Source organism: Homo sapiens, chromosome 11, assembly GCF_000001405.40.
Source record: "Homo sapiens chromosome 11, GRCh38.p14 Primary Assembly".
Lineage (NCBI taxonomy): Eukaryota > Metazoa > Chordata > Mammalia > Primates > Hominidae > Homo > Homo sapiens.
This window is the reverse complement of record NC_000011.10, coordinates 59,615,948-59,636,230: the sequence shown is the minus strand read 5'-3', so window position 1 is coordinate 59,636,230 and position 20,283 is coordinate 59,615,948. Positions and strand designations below refer to the sequence as shown.

At 42.0% G+C, this 20,283-nt stretch overlaps 1 long non-coding RNA gene across 2 annotated transcripts, besides 1 other annotated feature; it reads right to left on the bottom strand.

Moving 5' to 3' along the window:
- Positions 1-694: 694 nt before the first annotated feature.
- LOC101927226 (uncharacterized) lies at positions 695-20,277 on the bottom strand. 2 transcript variants are annotated; one of them, XR_001748236.2, is made up of 3 exons: positions 19,757-20,277; positions 15,759-15,816; positions 695-811 (listed from the first exon to the last, which is right to left on the bottom strand). It is a non-coding gene; the product is annotated as an uncharacterized LOC101927226 (long non-coding RNA). The 2 variants fall into 2 exon arrangements; XR_001748237.2 differs by having other exon boundaries at positions 20,056-20,277.
- Positions 19,995-20,084: an enhancer, noted in NCBI's record as "active region_4758". NCBI's record gives its function as "activates an Ori minimal core promoter by ATAC-STARR-seq in GM12878 lymphoblastoid cells {active_cell/tissue: GM12878}" and the evidence as "EXISTENCE:reporter gene assay evidence [ECO:0000049][PMID:35858748]".

Genomic DNA, 20,283 nt, shown 5'->3' with positions numbered 1-20,283 from the left:
AATGCTCAAGATAAAAGATTCAGCAAACACATAGAAAGGGGCAAAAAAAAGTGGGGTTTTGTTTTCAAGACAGGGCCTGTGTCACTCAGGCTGGAGTGTAGTGGCACAGTAGCACAATCACCACTCACTGCAGCCTCGATCTCCCAGGCTCAAGTGATCCACCTCAGCCTCCCGAGTAACTGGGACTACAGGTGTGCACCACCACACCTGGGTAATTTTTATACTTTTTGTAGAGTCGGGATCTCCCTATGTTGCCCAGGCTGGTCTTGAACTCCCAGGCTCAAGTGATCTTCCCACCTTGGCCCCCCAAAATGCTGGGAGTACAGGTGTGAATCACTGCACTCAGCCTGAAGGTTTTCTTCTTTTTCTGAGATGAGTTTCTCTGTCACCCAGGTTACAGTGCAGTGACACAATCATGGCTCACTGCAGCCTCTACCTCCCAGGCTCAAGCAGTTCTCCCACCTCAGCCTCCCAAGTAGCTGGGAATACTACAGGCGGGTGCCATCATGCCCAGCTAAATTTTTTGATTTTTAGTAGAGATGAGGTCTCGCTACATTGCCCAGGCTGGGCTCAAACCCCTGGCTCAAGGGATTCTTCTGCCTTGGCCTCCCAAAGTGCTGGATTACAGGAGTGAGCCTCCAAAGTTTTAAATGATAAAGAGACAGGAGATAATTTAACATTATTAGGTGCCTACCTACATAAAGCTTATTTTTTTTCCTGATGAGGAGATGGGTTCCTTGAGGTTCAGTAGCTTGTGGAGGTGACGCAGGTAATGGGCAGCAGAGCAGGAGGCTCATACAGCATATTATCGCTGTAAGGAAATAAAATTATCTTCCAGTAAAAGATTTATTCACACCTCTTAACATGAAACACTACAGGTGTTATTAGATAGCCCTGCTTTGTTAGAGTGGACTGGCCCAAGGATGCCCCTACTTTTCACGGAAGACAAGATTCTAAATGTCAGACATGAAGAAATCCCTAGAGATCATGTAGTCCAGTCCTCACAATTTGAGGAAGCCAAATCTCTGAGAGTGCAGTGACTTGCCCGAGGTGCCACAGCTGGCTAGTAGTAAAGCCAAGAAAAAAACTCATATGTGAGGCCAGGTGCGGTGGCTCATGCCTGTAATCCCAGCACTTTGGGAGGCTGAGGCAGGCAGATCACCTGAAGTCAGGAGTTTGAGACCACCCTGGGCAACATGGTGAAAACCCATCTCTACTAAAAGTACAAAATTAGCCGGGCATAGTAGCACATGCCTGTAATCCTAGCTACTTGGGAGGCTGAGGCAGGAGAATCACTTGAACCCGGGAGGTAGAGGTTGCAATGAGCTGAGATTGCGCCACTGCACTCCAGCCTGGGGAACAAGAGCAAAACTCCGTCTCAGTCTCAAAAAAAAGAAAAGAAAAATTTGTACATGGGATTTTACTATGTTGCCCAGGCTGGTCTTGAACTACTACTGGGTTCAAGTGATTCTCCCGACTTGGCTTCCCAAAGTGTTGGGATTACAGGCATGAGCCACTGTGCCTGGTCACAAATGACTTAAAAGTCATCAGCCACTATACCTGGCCCTGGGCAACATAATAAAATCCCATGTACAATTTTTTTATTATTATTTCTTAAAAAGTAATTTGTAAACCTCAGAGTAACTAATGAGGACAATGTTAACTTCAAAAAAAATTAAGTGATGCACTAAAATAATTTACAAGAATATGGCACAGAGTTGAAAACTGATACTAATGCATGTAATGTCCTATGTAAGAAAAAGAAGAACCTGATAAATAATACATAGGTAATAAACTCTAATGGGTAATAGGTACAGCCTTGTGAATAAACGTTCACAAAATAAAGTGCAAGTGAATAATATTAAGAACCTCACCCCGACTGGTAATCAGAGAAGTAAAAAGTAAATGTTTTTATCCTACCAAATTAATAAAAACTTTAAAAATAATGTTAGTGAGAATTTGGGGCTGCCACTCACTGGTGGGGGTAAATGTCTACGTTTCTGGAAAGTGCTTTCACAGTGTGGAGCACTTCAAAGTATTCTTAGCCTTTGAACAATTACTTTGGCTTTAGAAATCTAAGAAAATATAACAAAGCAATGGTACTTACCACAGCTTTCCTTATTTTTATTTTTTGAAGACAAGATCTTGCTCTGTTGCCCAGGCTTTAGTGCAGTGGTGCAATCATAGCTCACTGCAGCCTTGAACTCCTGGCCTCAAGCAATCCTCCCACCTCAGCCTCACGAGTAGCTGGGACTACAGACACATGCCACCTTGCCCAGCTAATTATTTTATTTTTTGTAGAGATAGGGTCTTGCTCTGTTACCCAGGCTGGTCTCAAACTTGCCTTGGCCTCCCAAATGATTCATTAGAGGCATGAGCCATTTCACCCAGTCAGCTTTACTTAATAGAAAAATTAGAAATAATCTAAATGTTCAATATTACAATAATGGCTAAGTAAACAATGATCCATGTGTTGTGGATAATTAGGCAGAATATTGCGCTAGGTGCAGTTGCTCATGCTTGTAATCCCAGCACTTTGGGAGGGAAGACTTTGTAAGACTTTGTCTCTGCAAAAAAATTTAAAAATAAGCCAGGCATGGTGGCATGTGCCTGTACTCTCAGCTAACTCAGGAGGCTGAGGCAGGATTGCCTGAGCCTAGGAGTTCGAGGCTATAATGAGATTCAGCCTGGGAGACAGAGCAAGACCCTGTCTAGAAAAATTTAAAAAGGCAGAATATTTAATCATGGAAAATATTTTATATAGTATGGGGAAAAAACATACATGCTTTGAATCCAATTTTTAAGAAAATGCATGTATGAAGAAAATATTGGAAAGATATGTTTCTAAAGATTACTGGTATCTGTAGGTGATGGGATTATGGAGAACTTTCTTTTCCTTTTGGCTTTTCAATAATTTTCAAATTTTCTATAGAGAAAATGTATTGCTTATGTTCTTAGAAGAAAAAATATTTTTCAAGAAAAAGTTGTTTTTGAAGAATTTAGTTACATAGGAAAATGTAAGAATATAATGCTAAGTAAAAAATAGGTTCTGTATATGTACATGACAATCTGTGGAGTAAAAAATATATGGGAGGCTAGGCATGGTGGCTCACGCCTGCAATCCTAGCACTTTGGGAAGCCAAGGCAGGCAGATCACATGAGATCAGGAGTTCGAGACCAGCCTAGCCAATATGGCAAAACCTCGCCTCTACTAAAAATACAAAAATTAGCTGGGCGTGGTGGTGCGCACCTTTAATCTCAGCTACTAGGGAGGCTGAGGCTGGATAATTGCTTGAACCCAGGAGGTGGAGGTTGCAGTGAGCCAAGATTGTGCCACTGACCTCCAGCTTGGGCAACAGAGTGATACCCCGTCTCAAAATACATATATAGACAGATACAGATATAGATATTTTACATATATATGTCTAGATATATATATAGATATATATATAGATATATATAGATATATATATAGATATATATCTATATATATGATATATAGATATATATAGATATATATAGATATATATATATAGATATATATATAGATATATATAGATATATATATATAGATATATATAGATATATATAGATATATATATAGATATATATAGATATATATATAGATATATATATATAGATATATATGTAGGCAAGAAGAGTGAAATCAAAAATGACCAAATAGTGGTTGCCTTTAAGGGAAAGGGCTGTGGAGGATTTTGTGTTTAGGTGATTGTTCCTGCTTTTTCATATTTTCCCAATTTGTCTTCAATCAGCGTGTATTATAACCTTAAAAGGGGGATATTATCTTAAAGCTGCTAAACATAGTAGTTATTTCTAGTGAAAAAATAAGTCCTAACTTTTTAATGATCACCATTCTGACTGGCGTGAGATGGTATCTCATTGTAATTTTGATTCGCATTTATCTAATGACCAGTGATGAGCAGTTTTTGTTTTTTGTTTTTGTTTTTTTTAGACAGAGTTTCACTCTTGTTGCCTAGGCTGGAGTGCGATGCATAATCTCAGCTCACCACAACCTCCACCCCCTGGGTTCAAGCGATTCTCCTGCCCCAGCCTCCTGAGGCATGCGCCACCATGCCCAACTAATTTTGTATTTTTAGTATAGACGGGGTTTCGCCATGTTGGCCAGGATGTTCTCGATTTCCTGACCTTGTGATCTGCCCGCCTCAGCCTCCCAAAGTGCTGGGATTACAGGCCTGAGCCACCGCACCTGACCTCTGCTATGAACATTTAAGGTGATATACCAAGTGTGGGATCAAAGAACCACTTTAACAAATCCCAAATACAGCTTCCACATTTACACTAAATTGCATTTTTTCCAAACTGTGGCTGTTAAATTGCCCAAGTTGCCCTGCTAAACATTAGGAAGGACAAGACATGACTTTCTGAACTTTTTATTTTTTTTAAGACAGAATCTCACCCTGTCGCTCAAGCTGGAGTGCAGTGGCACGATCTTGGCTCACTGCAACCTCTGCCTCCTGGGCTCCAGCGATTCTCCTGCCTCAGCTTCTCGAGTAGCTGGGATTACAGCTACTGAGATTACGCCCAGCTAATTTTTGCATTTTTTTTTTTTTTTTTTTTTTTTTTTGAGACGGAGTCTCGCTCTGTCGCCCAGGCTGGACTGCGGACTGCAGTGGCGCAATCTCGGCTCACTGCAAGCTCTGCTTCCCGGGTTCAACGCCATTCTCCTGCCTCAGCCTCCCCAGTAGCTGGGACTACAGGCGCCCGCCACCGCGCCCGGCTAATTTTTTGTATTTTTAGTAGAGACGGGGTTTCACCTTGTTAGCCAGGATGGTCTCGATCTCCTGACCTCATGATCCACCCGCCTCGGCCTCCCAAAGTGCTGGGACTACAGGCGCCCGCCACCGCGCCCGGCTAATTTTTTGCATTTTTAATAGAGACAGGGTTTCACCATGTTGGACAGGCTGGCTTCGAACTCCTGACCTCAAGTGATCTGCCTGCCTTGGCCTCCCAAAATGCTGGGATTACAGGCATGAGCCACTGCGCCTGGCCAGCTTTCTGAATTTGACAGCCATCTACTTTTGGGGGGCTGTGAAGTTCATTGTGTGAGAAGCAGAACTGGGAAGACTGAAGGGGTCTTATATTTTTCCTCCCCTCCCAGCTGTGCTTAAATACATTTAATATTGTGGTCCCTGAGAACTTAGTATTTGGGTTTTTAGGAAATAAGTCTTAGTCTGGGAAATCAGTATCCTAAAATCACCTAATAGCATTTTTACCTTCTTCCTTCTTGCATCAGAAGCACAGTTGTGAATAGATTGCAGGTCTCATGACAGCCTCTGCTTTGCTTCTTATTTTGCAAATGTTGCATGTAAGGCTGTTCTGAGGAGCTTGTTTATTATTCAGCATGACTCTCCAAGCTCCCAGTTCAGCCAAGTTCGTTCCCCAAAGCAATATTAACCAAAATCAGACTTGAGATCTGTGAAATATCTAGCAGGGAGCTAGGTAATCAGTGACACGAGTACTTTGCCAGTTGTGAATATAAAATTTCTTAAATTGCTTAGATTGCACTAATCTAGCAAATGAGAAACAAATCTGCATATAACTAACAAAAGGAAGTTTTCTCAGATTTGAACCCCCAGAAAAAACACTGCTAACAGTTTAGTGTATTGTTCCCCAAGTGATGTCTGCATGCACATGCATACATAGATAGAATTATAGTTTTACTGTTTTCTCTCTTAATAGATCATGGGCATCTTTCTGTGTTGGTATATAGAGAGCTACCCTGTTCTTTTCTTTTTGATACAGGGTCTTGCTCCGTTGTCCAATCTGGAGTGCAGTGGTGTGATCATGTCTCACTAGACCCCCAACCTCCATCTCAGCCTCCTGAATAGCTGGGAAAAAAGGTGTGCACCACCATGCCTGACTAATTATTTTATTTTTTGCAGAGACAAGGTCTTGCTTGTTGCCCAGGCTGGTCTCAAACTCCTGGGCTCATTCAGTCCTCCCAACCTGGCCTCTCAAAGTGCTGGGATTACAGGCATGAGACATTGTACCTGGTCCCCTGTTCTTTTTCATAGTTGTATAGTATTCCACTGTGTGCCATTATGCCATCATTTATCTGATTGTTCTCCTGTTAATAGGATTCAATCTTCAAATACTTTTTTTCAGTTACTGTTGTTCATCTAACAGTAACAAAGGTAAACCCACAATGTCACATTTCCATAGTTATTTTATAGTGTACAAAGAACACATTCGTGTTCCAATTCAGTCTTCTCTATAACCTTTTGAAGTAGGATGGGCAACTATAATTGTACAGTACCAAAACTAGATCAGCAAGACCTTCCAGCTGGTAAGGTCTAAAACTGGGATTTAAACCTTAAGTTTTGAGCTCCATTTCTAGTGTCTTGGCTGCAAGAAGGCTCCTATTCCTGGACCCAAGCTTCAGAGGAGCAGCTGAAAAGCTGTGAGGCTTTAACATTGCATCTGCAAACTCTTCTGATTGGATTTTAATGCCTTCATTTGCAGTAAGCAGATTAGACAATTGCCTCTCAGTAATGTCAAAAAGGGAGCAATTCAGGTTGTAATTATCAGAACCAATTGCAATATATAAGGATCAGAGTCACAGCAATGCAACTGTCAGGCATCTCTATGGTCTTTTTTATTTAAACATCATCTAGGGAGGGAAAAAAAAGAGCTCCTTGCTTCCACTCTTCCTCATTCCCAGTATTTTGAAAGGTATTTTTTACATTAGATATATTGTCACAGCAATTGTTTTTTTCATAAATTCACTGCATTAATATGGGAGCTTCACAAATACAGAAATAGTCTGTCTTGTTCATGGCTGTACCACAAAGCCCAGCACAGAGTCAACACCTAGCAGACATCCAACAAATACCTGGTCATGAAATAGTTTTGTTATTGAGAAACAAAGCTGGCCAGGCACAGTGGCTCACACCAGTAATCCCAGCACCTGTAATCCCAACTTAAAATTCAAGGCTGGGCACAGTGTCTCATATGGGTAACCCAGCACTTTGGGAGACTGAGGTGGGCAGATCACTTGAGGTCAGGAGTTTGAGACCACCCTGGCCAATATGGTGAAACCCTATCTCTACTAAAAATACGAAAATCAGCCAGGTATGGTGGCTTGCGCCTGTAGTCCCAGCTACTTAAGAGACTGAGGTAGGAGAATCGCTTGAACCCGGGAGGCAGAGGTTGCAGTGAGCTGACATTGCGCCACTGCACTCCAGCCTGGGCAACAGAGCAAGACTCCATCTAAAAAAAAAAAAAAAGAAAGAAAAGAAAACGAAACAAAGCTTAGCTGGGTGCAGTGGCTTACCCTTGTAATCCCAGCACTTTGGGAGGTTGAGGCAGGAGGACCACTTGAGCCTAGGAGTTCAAGACCAGCCTGGGCAACATAGTGAGACCCCCATCTCTACAAAAAATTTTTAAAAATTAACCAGGCATGGTGGCACATGCCTATAGTCCCAGCTACTTGGGAGGCTGAGGTGGGAGGATCACTTGAGCCCAGGAAGTTGAGGCTGCAGTGAGCTGTGATTGCTCCACTGCACTCCAGCTGACAAATGAGACCCTATCTCACAAAAACGAAGGAAGGAAGGATGGAAGGAAGGAAGGAAGGAAGGAAGGAAGGAAGGAAGGAAGGAAGGAAGGAAGGAAGGCAGGCAGGCAGGCAGGCAGGCAGGCAGGCGGGTGGGCAGGAGGGAGGGAGGGAAGGAGGGGAGGGGAGGGGAGGGGAGAGGAGAAGGCTGGGCATGATGGCTCACACCTGTAATCCCAGCACTTTGGGAGGCCAAAGCGGGTGGATCATATGAGGTCAGGAGTTTGAGACCAGCCTGCCAACATGGTGAAAACCCGCCTCTACTAAAAAGATAAAAAATTAGCCGGGCATGGTGGTGGCACCTGTAATCCCAGCTACTTGGGAGGCTGAGGCAGGAGAATCGCTTGAGCCTGGAAGGTGGAGGTTGCAGTGAGCCGAGATCGCGCCACTGCACTCCAGCCTGGGTGACAGAGTGAGACCCTGTCTCAAAAAAAAAAAAAAAGAAAAGAAAAGAAAAGAAAAAGAAGCAAACAGAGCCTAAACAGATTATTCAGAGAATAGAGCTTGATGTAATAAATTAGTCTGTGTTTACAAGACTCATTTCAAAATACATTGTCACTCATTTTATCACAACAACCCCTAGGTCAGGAACAATTTGATAATATAAATCAGTTAAGGTCTTGTATGTCCCACATTACTCCAGATACAGTGGTGACAAAGACAAACTAAACCCGTATTCTGATGCAGTTTGCATTCTGAGGGGGATACTTACAATGATAAGTGCTAAGAAAAGAACAAAGTGATTTGAGTGGGGGAGATGTACTTGTACTGTAGACAGAGTAGCAAGGAAGTCCTTGATAAGCAGGTGACATTCAAGCAGACATCTGAATAATGAGAAGAGACAGATGTGCAAAGGTCTAGGAAGAGCATCCTAAGCAAAATAAAGAAGGTAGCCAAGCCCCTGAGATGAAAATGAGTTTGAGTTCAAGGAACCACAGAAAGTCAATGTTGTTAGAGTTAATGGAGTGGGGCAGAGAGTAACCACACATGGTCTTGAAGGGATTTATTCTTATTGCAATGGGAAATCTTTGCAGAGTTTTAAGTAAAAAACACAAAACGTCATATGACTTATACTTTTAAAAATCACTCTGCTGTATGGAGATGGAAATAAAAAAAGGGAGCACTTATCAGAGAGCCTCATATTATCACTGGTCTACAGGATGAATCTGGGCCTTTAAAAGGCAAATCGACTGAGGGAACAATTTTTTTAAACATAGATTTAGCAACAAGCAAAAAACAAATATTCCAATTTAAAAATGGGCAAAGGACATGAACAGATACTTCTCAAAACAAGACAGAAAAATGGCCAACAAACATGAAAAAATGCTCATCATCACTAATCATCAGAGAAATGCAAATCAAAACCACAATGAGGTACCATCTCACACCAGTCACAATAACTATTATTAAAAAGTGAAAAAAAATATCAGATGCTGGCGAGGCTGTGGAATGCTTGTACCCTGCTGGTGGGAATGCAAATTAGTTCAGCCACTGTGGAATGCAGTTTGGAGATTTCTCAAAGAACTTAAAACAGAACTACCATCTGACCCAGCAATTCCATTACTGGGTATATACCCAAAGGAATATAAATCATTCTACCAAAATGATACATGCAAAAAAGGGCTTCTGTCGTGAGTGGCACACGTAGGGCAACTCGACTGCTCTGCATGCGGAATCGACATCAAAATGATACATGCACACATATGTTCATCTCAGCACTATTCACAATAGCAAAGGCATAGAATCAACCTAGGTGCCCATCAACAATGGTAGACTGGATAAATAAAATGTGGTACATATACATCATAGAATACTACACAGCCATAAAAAAGAGCAATATGATATCCTTTGCAGGAACATGGATGCATCTAGAGGCCATTGTCCTAAGTGAGTTAATGCAGAAACAGAAAACCAAATACTGCATGTTCTCACTTATAAGTAGGAGCTAAACAATGAGTACACATGGGCATAAAATTGGAACAATAGACACTGGGGACTTCCAAAAGTTGGGGGAGGGGTGGACATGGGTTGAAAAACCATTGGATACTATGCTCACTACCTGGGTGACAGGATCATCTATACCTCAGACCTCAACATCACACAATACACTTGTAACAAACCTGCACATGTACCCTCTGAATCCAAAATGAAAGTTGGGAAAAAATACATTTAAGACGAGTTACTTTTGGAAGTGTTTAGGGGCATGGTATTGGGATAGGATGTAGAAAACTGGTCATTTTGTATTTCTTATGTTGAGTGGTGCCTTGAGCAGTATTGGTTTGACTATTGTGCTTTGTAACTTTCACATATCATATGTATCCTCTGTATGTTATGGGCTAAATTGTGTCCACCCCCAAAACTCTTATACTGAAGTCCTAACCCCTGTACCTCAGAATGTCACTCTATTTGAAAATAGGTTCTTTAAAGAGTTAATTCAGTTAAAATGTAATAGGTTTGTGTTTGAAGGAAGGAAGAAAATAAGAGAGAGAGAACATGTACATGTGTCCAAGATTGCAGTGAGTGAGCGGTAGACAAAGAAAGCCTGATTACAATCATTTTCCATCATTTCTCTATCCCACAGAGAATAAGTAGACATGTCGTGTGTGACTTCCAAAAATTCTCCCTAAGGGGAAGGCACTACACTTTTGTCCTCCTTACTTCCCTCTTCTTGCTGCTTCAAATGCAGATGTAATGACTGAAGCTCTAGCAGCCACCCTGGGGCAAAAGGTAATAACAGAAACAACATACAATGGAGAGAAAGAAGTCTGTGTCTGGCGGGGCAAGGTGGCTCAGGCCGATAGTCCCAGCACTTTGGGAGGCCAAAGCAGGTGGATCACTGGAGTCCAGGAGTTCAGGACAAGCCTGGGAAACATAGCAAGACCCCATCTCTACTAAAAATACCAAAAAAAAAAAAAAAGAATAGCCATGAGGCTGAGGTGGAGGATCCCTTGAGACTGGGAGGTCGAGGCTGCAGTGAGCCAAGATTGAACCACTGCACTCCAGCCTGAGCAACAGAGTGAGACCCTGGCTCAAAAAAAAAAAAAAAAAGTCTATGTCTCTGAAGACTTCATTGAGCCACCATTCCAACCTTGAGCTTCCTATCCTGGGATTTCTTTCCTGTGTGAGAATAAACTATTATGGGTTTAAACCAATGTAAATTGGGCCTCTGTTACTTCCAAATAAACCTAATCCCAATTATTATGAAGGACTTTTTCAATCATTTGGTACAGGTTGAGCATCTCTAATCTGAAAATCTGAAATCCAAAATACTCCAAAATCTGAAAATTTTTGAGTGCTGACATGATGCTCAAAAGAAATGCTCATTGGAGCATTTCAGGTTTAGAATTTTCAGATTAGGGATGCTGAACCAGTAAGCACTCTATATATAATGGAAATATTCCAAAATCCAAAAAATAAAAATCAGAAATCTGAAACTCTTCTGGTCCCAAGCATTTCGGATAAGGGCTATTCAACCTGTATTAGAGTTCATTAAGTGTAATTAGACAAATTTTTTTAAATTTAATTTAATTTTATTTTATTTTACTTTATTTTGAGACAGGATCTCACCCTGTCGCCCAGGCTGGAGTGCAGTAGCGCGATCTCAGCTCATTGCAACCTCCACTTCCCGGGTTCAAGCCATCCTCTCACCTCAACCTCCCAAGTAGCTGAGACGATAGGCACATGCCACCATGCCCGGCTAATTGTTTTTTTTTTTTTTTTTGAGATGGAGTCTCGCTCTGTTGCCCAGGCTGGAGTGCAATGGGGCGATCTCAGCTCACTGCAACCTCCGCCTCCCGGGTTCAAGCAATTCTCCTGCCTCAGCCTCCTGAGAAGCTGGGATTACAGGTGCCCGCCACTGCACCCAGCTAATTTTTGTATTTTTAGTAGAGACAGGGTTTCACCTTGTTGGCCAGACTGGTCTTGAACTCCTGACCTCAGGTGATCCGCCCTCCTCCATCTCCCAAAGTGATGGGATTACAGGCCTGAGCCACCGCGCCTGGCCTAAGTTTTGTATTTTTAGTAGAGACAGGGTTTCACCATGTTGGCCAGGCTGGTCTCGAACTCCCGACCTCAAGTGATCCACCCACCTCAGTCTCCCAAAGTGCTGGGATTACAAACATGAGACACTGTGCCCACCCTTGAATTTTAAGTTATTACAAATTCTAGGGAATTCTAGAAGCTCTAGCAGCCACCTTAGGGCAAAAGGTAATAACAGAAACAATATACAAAGGAGGAGAAAGAAGTCTGTGTCTGGCCAGGCATGGTGGCTCAGGCCTGTGGTCCCAGCACTTTGGGAGCCTGCATTTTCTCTGTGAAGTGCAAAGCATGATAATCAGTTGTGAAACAGAAGGGTTTGTGTGACATTTGGTTTAATTTTGATGACAGAAAATATAATACATCTCGACTCCTAACTTAACTATTTGAATTGTTTTGCTTGTTTTGAGACGAGGTCTCACTCTGTTGCCCAGGCTGGAGTGCAGTGGCATGAGCTCGGCTCACTGCTGCCTCCAGCTCCCAGGCTCAAGAGAGCCTCCCCCAGCCTCCTGAGTAGCTGGGACTACAGGCGTGAGCTACCACACCCGGCTAATGATTTGTATTTTTGGTATAGATGGGGTTTCACCATGTTGCCCAGGCTGAGCTTGAGTGATCTGCCCACCTCAGCCTCCCAAAATTCTGGGATTACAGGCGTGAGACATTGCACCCAGCACCTCGAATTGTTTGTTGTTGTTTTAAAAATGGCTCCAAGGCACAAGTAATATCGGACTATAGCCCTATTCATATCTGTGTTTGAGTGTTAGCTTCACCTTTGCAAGTTACTTTATTCATGAATCTCAGTTTCTCTACCTGTAAAAGGGGTGGTAGAACAAGTGGGATTATGACAAAAAATCAATATTTGTGAAAGTGCTTAACACTCAATAAAAGCTGGCATCCATTCATTATATTATTTTTACCTCATATAAAGTCCCAGTATTTCCAGGTTTTTCTACGGTACGTCTAATGCCCTCAAGAAAGACATGTCGGTCCTCTTAGGGTTAGTTATGTTGTGCTACAAAGATAGTCTTGCATAATTAGTAATTACAGTCAGCATTTATGATTTACCATATGCCAGACACATTTCATGTATTTTTATTTAATCCTTCCCCAAAACCTTGAGAAAAAGATGCTGTTAGTATGGTCATAAGGAAACTGGTGAGAGGTTAAGTAAACAGCACAAGATTGCATCACTTAGCCAAAACAGGATTTGAAGCGAGGTGGTCAAGATCTGTGGTACATCTGTATAAGGCAATACATAAAGGAAACTTAAATGCATACTACTAAGTGAAAGAAGCCAATTTTATTTTATTTTATTTTATTTTTTAAATGGAGTCTCTCTCTGTCGCCCAGGCTGGAGTGCAGTGGCACGATCTTGGCTCACTGCAACCTCCCCTTCCTGGGTTCAAGCGATTCTCCTGCCTCAGCCTTCTGAGTAGCTGGGACTACAGGCACGTGCCGCCACGCCCAGCTAATTTTTGTATTTTCAGTAGAGACGGGGTTTCACCACGTTGGCCAGGATGGTCTCAATCTCTTAACCTTGTGATCCACCCGCTTCAGCCTCCCAAAGTGCTGGGATTACAGGCATGAGCCACCACGCCCGGAAAGAAGCCAGTTTTTAAAAGGCTTCTTTTCAAACTACAGTCAGCCCTCCATATCTGTGGGTTCTGCATCCACGATTTCAACCAAGTATCAAAAATATTCTCCCAAAAAGAGATGCTTGTGCCTGTACTGAATATGTACAGACTTTTTTCCTGTCATTATTCCCTAAACAATATAGGATAACAACTATTTACATAGCATTTACATTGTATTGGGTATTAGAAATAATCTAGAGATAATTTAAAGTATAAGAGAAGATGTGTATAGGTTATATGCAAATACTATACCATTTTGTATAACAGACTTGACCATCTGTGGATTTTGGTATTTGCAGAGAATCTGGGAACCAATTCCCCATGGATACTGAAGGACAAATGTATGTGTGTGATTCAAACTATAAGACATTCTGGAAAAGGCGTAACTGTGAAGACAGTAGAAAGATCACTGGTTGCCAAGAGTTAAGGAAAAAGGAGGAATGAATAGGTGGAGCAGAGAGGTTTTTTCGGACAATAAAACTAATCTGTATGATATTTAATCCTGGATAAATGTCATTATACATTGTTAAAACCCATAGAATGTACAATGCCAAATAAACACTAATGTAAACTATGGGTTTTGGGTGGATAATGATGTGTCAGTGTAGATTCATCAATTTTAACAGTTACACCACTCTGGATGTTGATAGTAGGAGAGGCTGTGCATGGAACTCTCTGTAATTTCAGCTCAATTTTGCTGTGAATCTAAAACTGCTCTAAAAAAATATAGTTTATGTAAAAAAAAATCATGAAAGCAAAAATATCCAATATATTGGAGTCTGGCAGGTAAACCAGTATGGACTGAAAAGAGTTGTAAAAAGTGGGACAGGAAAGCAAGATTAGGACCTGGTAGGGTAGGGCCTTAGATGGCAAAGTGAGCTATCAGGACTTTATCCTGTAGACCAGAGGGGGGTCATTTGAGGATTACGGAGCAAGAAACTCAGGTAAGGAACAGACTATTTTAAGAAAATCCTGGCCGAGCATGGTGGCTCACGCCTGTAACGCCAGCACTTTGGGAGGCTGAGGCAGGCAGATCTCTTGAGCTCAGGAATTCAAGACCAGCCTGGGCAACATGGCAAAAACCTGTCTCTACAAAAAATACAAAAATTAGCAGAGCATGGTGGCATGCACTTGTGGTCCCAGCTACTTGGAAAGCTGAGGCACGAGAATCACTAGAACCAAGGAGGCAGAGGTTGCAGCGAGCCAAGATTGTGCCACTGCACTTCAGCCTGGGTGACAGAGAGAGACTCTGTCTCAAAAAAAAAAAAAAAAAAAAAGAAGATCCCTTTGGCAGTTGTGAGGAGAATTCTGGAAGATAGACTAGGGGCAAATAGACGAGTTTAAAAGTGAGAAGAAAGCACAAGAATCTAGGCCAGTAAAGAAAGGGGTGCATAAAAGATCATCAGTTTTTTGTTACTGACTGGATATTGGGATGAGGACAATGACTTCATGAGAAAAATAAAACACCAATTTTTTAAAGTTGTAATTATTTCACACATTAAACATTAACTGAATCATTATCATGTGCCCGGTCCTATCAGGTATATCTCCAAATATATGTGGAATGTATCCACTTCTCTCCATCCCTGTTTCCACCACATTCAACCAAGTCATCAATATTTCTCTTCTAAAAGATGGTAGAAGGCTGGGTGTGGTGGCTCACGTCTGTAATCTCAGCACTTTGGGAGGCTGAGGCGGGTGGATCACATGAGGTCAGGAGTTCCAGACCAGCCTGGCCAACATAGTGAAACCCCATCTCTACTAAAAATACAAAAAAATTAGCCTGGCGTGGTGGCAGGTGCCGGTAATCCCAGCTACTCTGGAGGCTCAGGCAGAAGAATCTCTTGAACCTGGTTGCAGTGAGCCGAGATGGCACCACTGCACTCCAGCCCAGGTGACAATTTGAGACTCCATCTCAAAAAAAAAAAAAAAAAAATGATGGTAGAAGTTTCCTAATTGCTGTCCCTCTCCACTCTTGTGACTCCACACATCAGCCAGTGATAATTTTAAACAAGAATTGAGGCCAGGCACGGTGGCTCCACTCCCAACATTTTGCGAGGCTGAGGCGGGAGGATAACTTGAGGCCAGGAGTTTGAGACCACAGCAAGACCCTGTCTCTACAAAAAATAAAAAGTATCTAGGCATAGTGGTGCATGCCTGTAGCCCTAGCTATTTGGGAGGCTGAGGCAGGAGGATTGCTTAAGCCCAGGAGTTCAAGGTTGCAGCGAACCATAATTAATTACATCATTGTACTCTAGCCTAGATGACAGAGCAAGGCCCTGTCAAGAAAAAAGACAGAGAGAAAGAAAGAAACATAGAAAGAAAAGAAAAGAAAGAGAGATACAGAAAGAAACAAAGAAAGAATGAATGAACTGGGGTCACTTGCTCTAATCCCTTTGATTGCTTCCTGTTGCAATGAGAATAAAACTTGGACTCCTTATGAGGTCTTACAGCCCTTTGGGGTCTTCACTCTCCATGCCTTATGTACCCACCTCAGTTACTTCCTCTCTTTTCCTCCTCATGCCTTCGCAGGAAGATGACTGATTTTAGCTATGGAGGAAAAAAAGAGAAAGGAAAAAGAATGACTGATTTATTTCCTTTGCTTACTCCTCCCCAGTCCCCAGGTGGCAACTTAAACAGTTTATCCCTCTTTGAAACAGGTTAGGGCCGGGCACAGTGGCTCAAGCCTGTAATCCCAGCACTTTGGGAGGCCGAGGCGGGTGGATCATGAGGTCAGGAGATCGAGCCCATCCTGGCTAACACGGTGAAACCCCATCTCTACTAAAAATACAAAAACAAAAAATTAGCCGGGCGTGGTGGCGGGCGCCTGTAGTCCCCGCTACTCGGGAGGCTGAGGCAGGAGAATGGCGTGAACCCGGGAGGTGGAGCTTGCAGTGAGCCGTGATCGTGCCACTGCACTCCAGCCTGGGCAACAGAACAAGACTCTGTCTCAAACAAACAAACAAACAAACAAACAAAAAATAAACAGGTTACACCTGTTGTCCTCCATATTACTGTGCATATGTGTATAATTACTCTACATATTTTTTCACTACGAATACTGTGTATATCCCTAAGATCCTTTACATTTCATGAGGAGCCAGAGCCTATTTGTACATTCACTACTTTGTCCCTAAGACTTGGCTCAGGCCTGAAGATATATAATAGATAATTGATAAATATTTATTAAATAGATGAATATGCTAGGTTGCGTGCTGTCATGGGGGAAACAAAGATGAAATAGATACAGGTTATACATTAGAGAAATTGACCCTCTAGTAGGGGAGATATGATTGAAACATAGATAATTATAAGGCAAGACAATTAACCTCACAGGAAACTCTGCAAGTCCTGAGGAAGGGGCATTACGTCTAGCCAGGAAAATTCGAGGAAATTCTGTGGAGGGAGTTCACTGGGCATTTAATGGAGGGAAAGCATACACAAAGGCATCAGTTTGAGAAAGTGTAGGGTGAATGTGGAAAAAAATGTGTGGATCAATTTAATTGGAACACAGAGTACACCAATACAAAAGAGAGAGGCCAGGTGTGAGCCTATATACTTACCACATAGATTTAACAATTAACATTTTGCCATATTTGCTTGATAGGTAGGTAGGGAGGGAGACAGACAGACAGATAGATGTGTGTGTATGCATTTCAAAGCCACCACTTGGTGGCTCACATCTGTCATCCCAGCACTTTGGGAGGCCAAGGCAGGCAGATCACCTGAGGTCAGGAGTTTGAGACCAGCCTGGCCAACATGGTGAAACCCTGTCTCTACTAAAAATATAAAAATTAGCTGGGTGTGGTGGTGCATGCCTGTAATCCCAGCTACTCCAGAGGCTGACACAGGACAATCACTTGAGATTGTGCCACTGTACTCCAGCCTAGGTGAGTGAGATTCTGTCTTAAAAAAAAAAAAGGACTGGAAAGGAGAGGTGACATCAGATTGTCATGGGTCTCATTTGCCAGGCCAAGAATTCTGTTCTGTATTCCGGAGGCAGTGTTAGGTAACAACAGTAGGTCAAACTAGCCTCTCAAAACCTTTTTTAAAATTATTATTCCAAATATACAATAAAAGTAGAAATAATAGTACAGTAAACACCTATATACTTACCACATAGATTTAACAATTAAGATTTTGCCATATTTGCTTGATAGGTAGGTAGGTAGGGAGGTAGACAGACAGACAGATGTGTATGTATGCATTTCAAAGTATTTATCTTTCCTTGGCTCTGTGTGTGTGTGTGTGTGTGTGTGTGTGTGTGTGTGTGTGTGAGAGAGAGATAGGGCCTCACTCTGTCAGGCTGGAGTGCAGTGGCACAATCACAGCTCACTGTAGCCTCGACCTCCTGGGCTCAATCAGTCCTCCCACCTCAGTCTCCCAAGTAGCTGGAACTACAGGCACAGGCCTCCATGCCCAGCTAATTTTTTTGTTTTGTTTTGTTTTGCTTTTGTTTTTAGTAGAGACAGGTTTATTTATGTTGCCCAGACTGGTCTCTTATCTTTCTTTTTTGCTGAACCATTTCAAAGAGAGTTACGGATATCATAACTCTTCACTCCTACGTTTCTCCAAGTTGTAAAGATGTTTTCCCCCATGTCCAGCATACCATTATTACAATGAACAAATGTAATAACTAACAACATCTGATACCAGTCCATTTTCAAATTTCCCCAATTGTCTCAAAAATGTCTAAAAGCCTGCTTTTTCAGAACCAGAATCCAATTAAGCATTTGATTGTATCTCTTTAAGTTTTTTTTCAAATTTAGAACAATCACCCCTGACCATTTTTATGACATTGATTTTCCTTGATCTTTATGTCTTATCTTCTATAAAATAGTTGTCTTATAGAATGCTTCACGTTCTTGATTTATCTGATTATCTCCTTGGGGTTATGGTTCAACTGGTTCCTCCAGCCCAGTAAACTGGAGTTTAGATCCAAAGCCTTGATTAGATTAACTTTCAGTATTTTGGCAAGAAAACACCATTAAGTGATGCTGTATACTTTATGCTGCAGCACACTGGGAACTTCATAAAAATGTTGGTTGTCCAAGGGTTACTGATACACATTGGATAACTGGGTTAAGGTGGGGACTGCCAGATCTCCCCATTGTAAAAGTATGTTTCTCCTTTGTGATGGCAAGTAACCTGTGAGATGTGTTTGGCAACACAACTCACATGTTTGTAGCTATCTACAGTTTATCAAACACATTCAAACGCACTTAATCACAACAGCATCCCTGTGAGGTTTTATTCCTGTTTAACATAAGTGAAAACTGAGACTTGGAGTGCTTAAATAATTTTCTCAAAGTAATAGACCCAGTAAGTAGCAAAAGCAGGACTCAAGCCTAAATGGATTAACTCTAGCTCAGTTAAAAAAAAAATTAATCCCAAATAGCCTACATCTAATAGCAGATTTTATTTTGCTCTACACATTCAGAGAAATTCACTAGTAATGAGCTATACAAATGATCCCTGATAGTAAAAATTGCAGATTTTTAAAGAGTATTCTCTCTCCAGAATTCAATAAATACTTCGCTTCTTTTGAAACGATTTTCTTAAAAAGGATACTTTAATTTATTGACACTGGGAAGCACATTGGCAAAGAAAGTCAATTTCTTTTACAGTATCTAATAGCTATTTCTATTGCCTGTTCAAACTAGCAAAATGTAACAGATGCTAGATTCCCTAAAGTACGGCGCTTTAGGTTACATTTGCAACAATAGCTTACATCTAAATGTTACATTAGTTACTGAATTTGTAATCTTCACAAATGTGTGAATAGTCAGTTGATCAAAAATAACGATTTCCTGCTACAAGAGAACGCATAGCAGAAAATGTTCCCAACACAAAGATAATGTTTGAGATGATGGATATCCCAATTACACTGATTTGATAATTATACATTGAATACATGTATCACAATATCAGATGTATCCCTGAAAATATGTACAACTATATCAGTTTAAAGATATAAAAAAAATTTTCTGTCCAAAGTTAAATATGTACAACTACGATATATCAGTTTAAAGATACAAAAAATAATAATTTTCTGTTCAAAGTTAAGCATATACATGGCACCTATGATGCTAAAACCAAGGGCCTTTAGGTCTGGAAGAGACACATAAAGTCAGGTCCTCGCGAATCTACTTCTGAAGGGGACAGAATCGGTATAGGCATATGACAGTCTAGAATCAAGACACAAGGGGTGTGGAGCGATAAAGAGCAAACAGGGAAGGGAACTAGGGGGACCATGGATCCAGGAAGGGGCTGGAAAAGCTACTTCTGGGCACCCCTGGAATCTGGGTATCCAGCTTCGAGTTAGAAGGGGGTCCTTCAAGAGAGCCTCAGGCGGGGGCTGACTGCCGAGAGTTACTCTGTCCTCCAGGTTCTTCCTAACAAGAAGCTACGAAGTTCTTATTCAGAAAAACGGAACACGACATCACACCCACGTGAAAAAAACGCTTTTAAGAGGCCAAGTCACTTTCACCTCCCACCAACTTGCCAAAGGCTGAAAGCAGGCGGACACGCCCCCAAGCGCTCTTCTCCGATTTCATTGGTTGCCCCGGCCTGCTCCTCATTAGGTCTCTCTCACTGGTCAGCAATGCCGCTTTCACAGCCAATTCTCAGAACCAATCATCTCCAACTATTGCCCCGCCTCTCCACCACGTGAGTGGCATAGGTGCCAACCAATAAAAAAAGAAAATAAGGATGTAAAGACGAGACTCCTTCCCTTTTTCCTCAACTCGTTCAGTAAATGGTAGAAAAGGTGGAGCAGCTGATACCAACCACCAATCCATGAGGGCGGAAAAGGATGATGAGAAGAGCGATGGGAGGGGGTGACGTGGCAGTGACAGGCGCATAAACTGAAATGAATGGCGGAAACAGCAGCCAATCGGCGATCAGATTGGCCGGGCATTCCGCATTCTCCCGTCCTCCCTGAGCGCTGGAAACTTCAGGAAAGCACCAATGAGCTTCCCCAAAAGTCTGATTGGCCTTTATCTGAACCAATCAAAG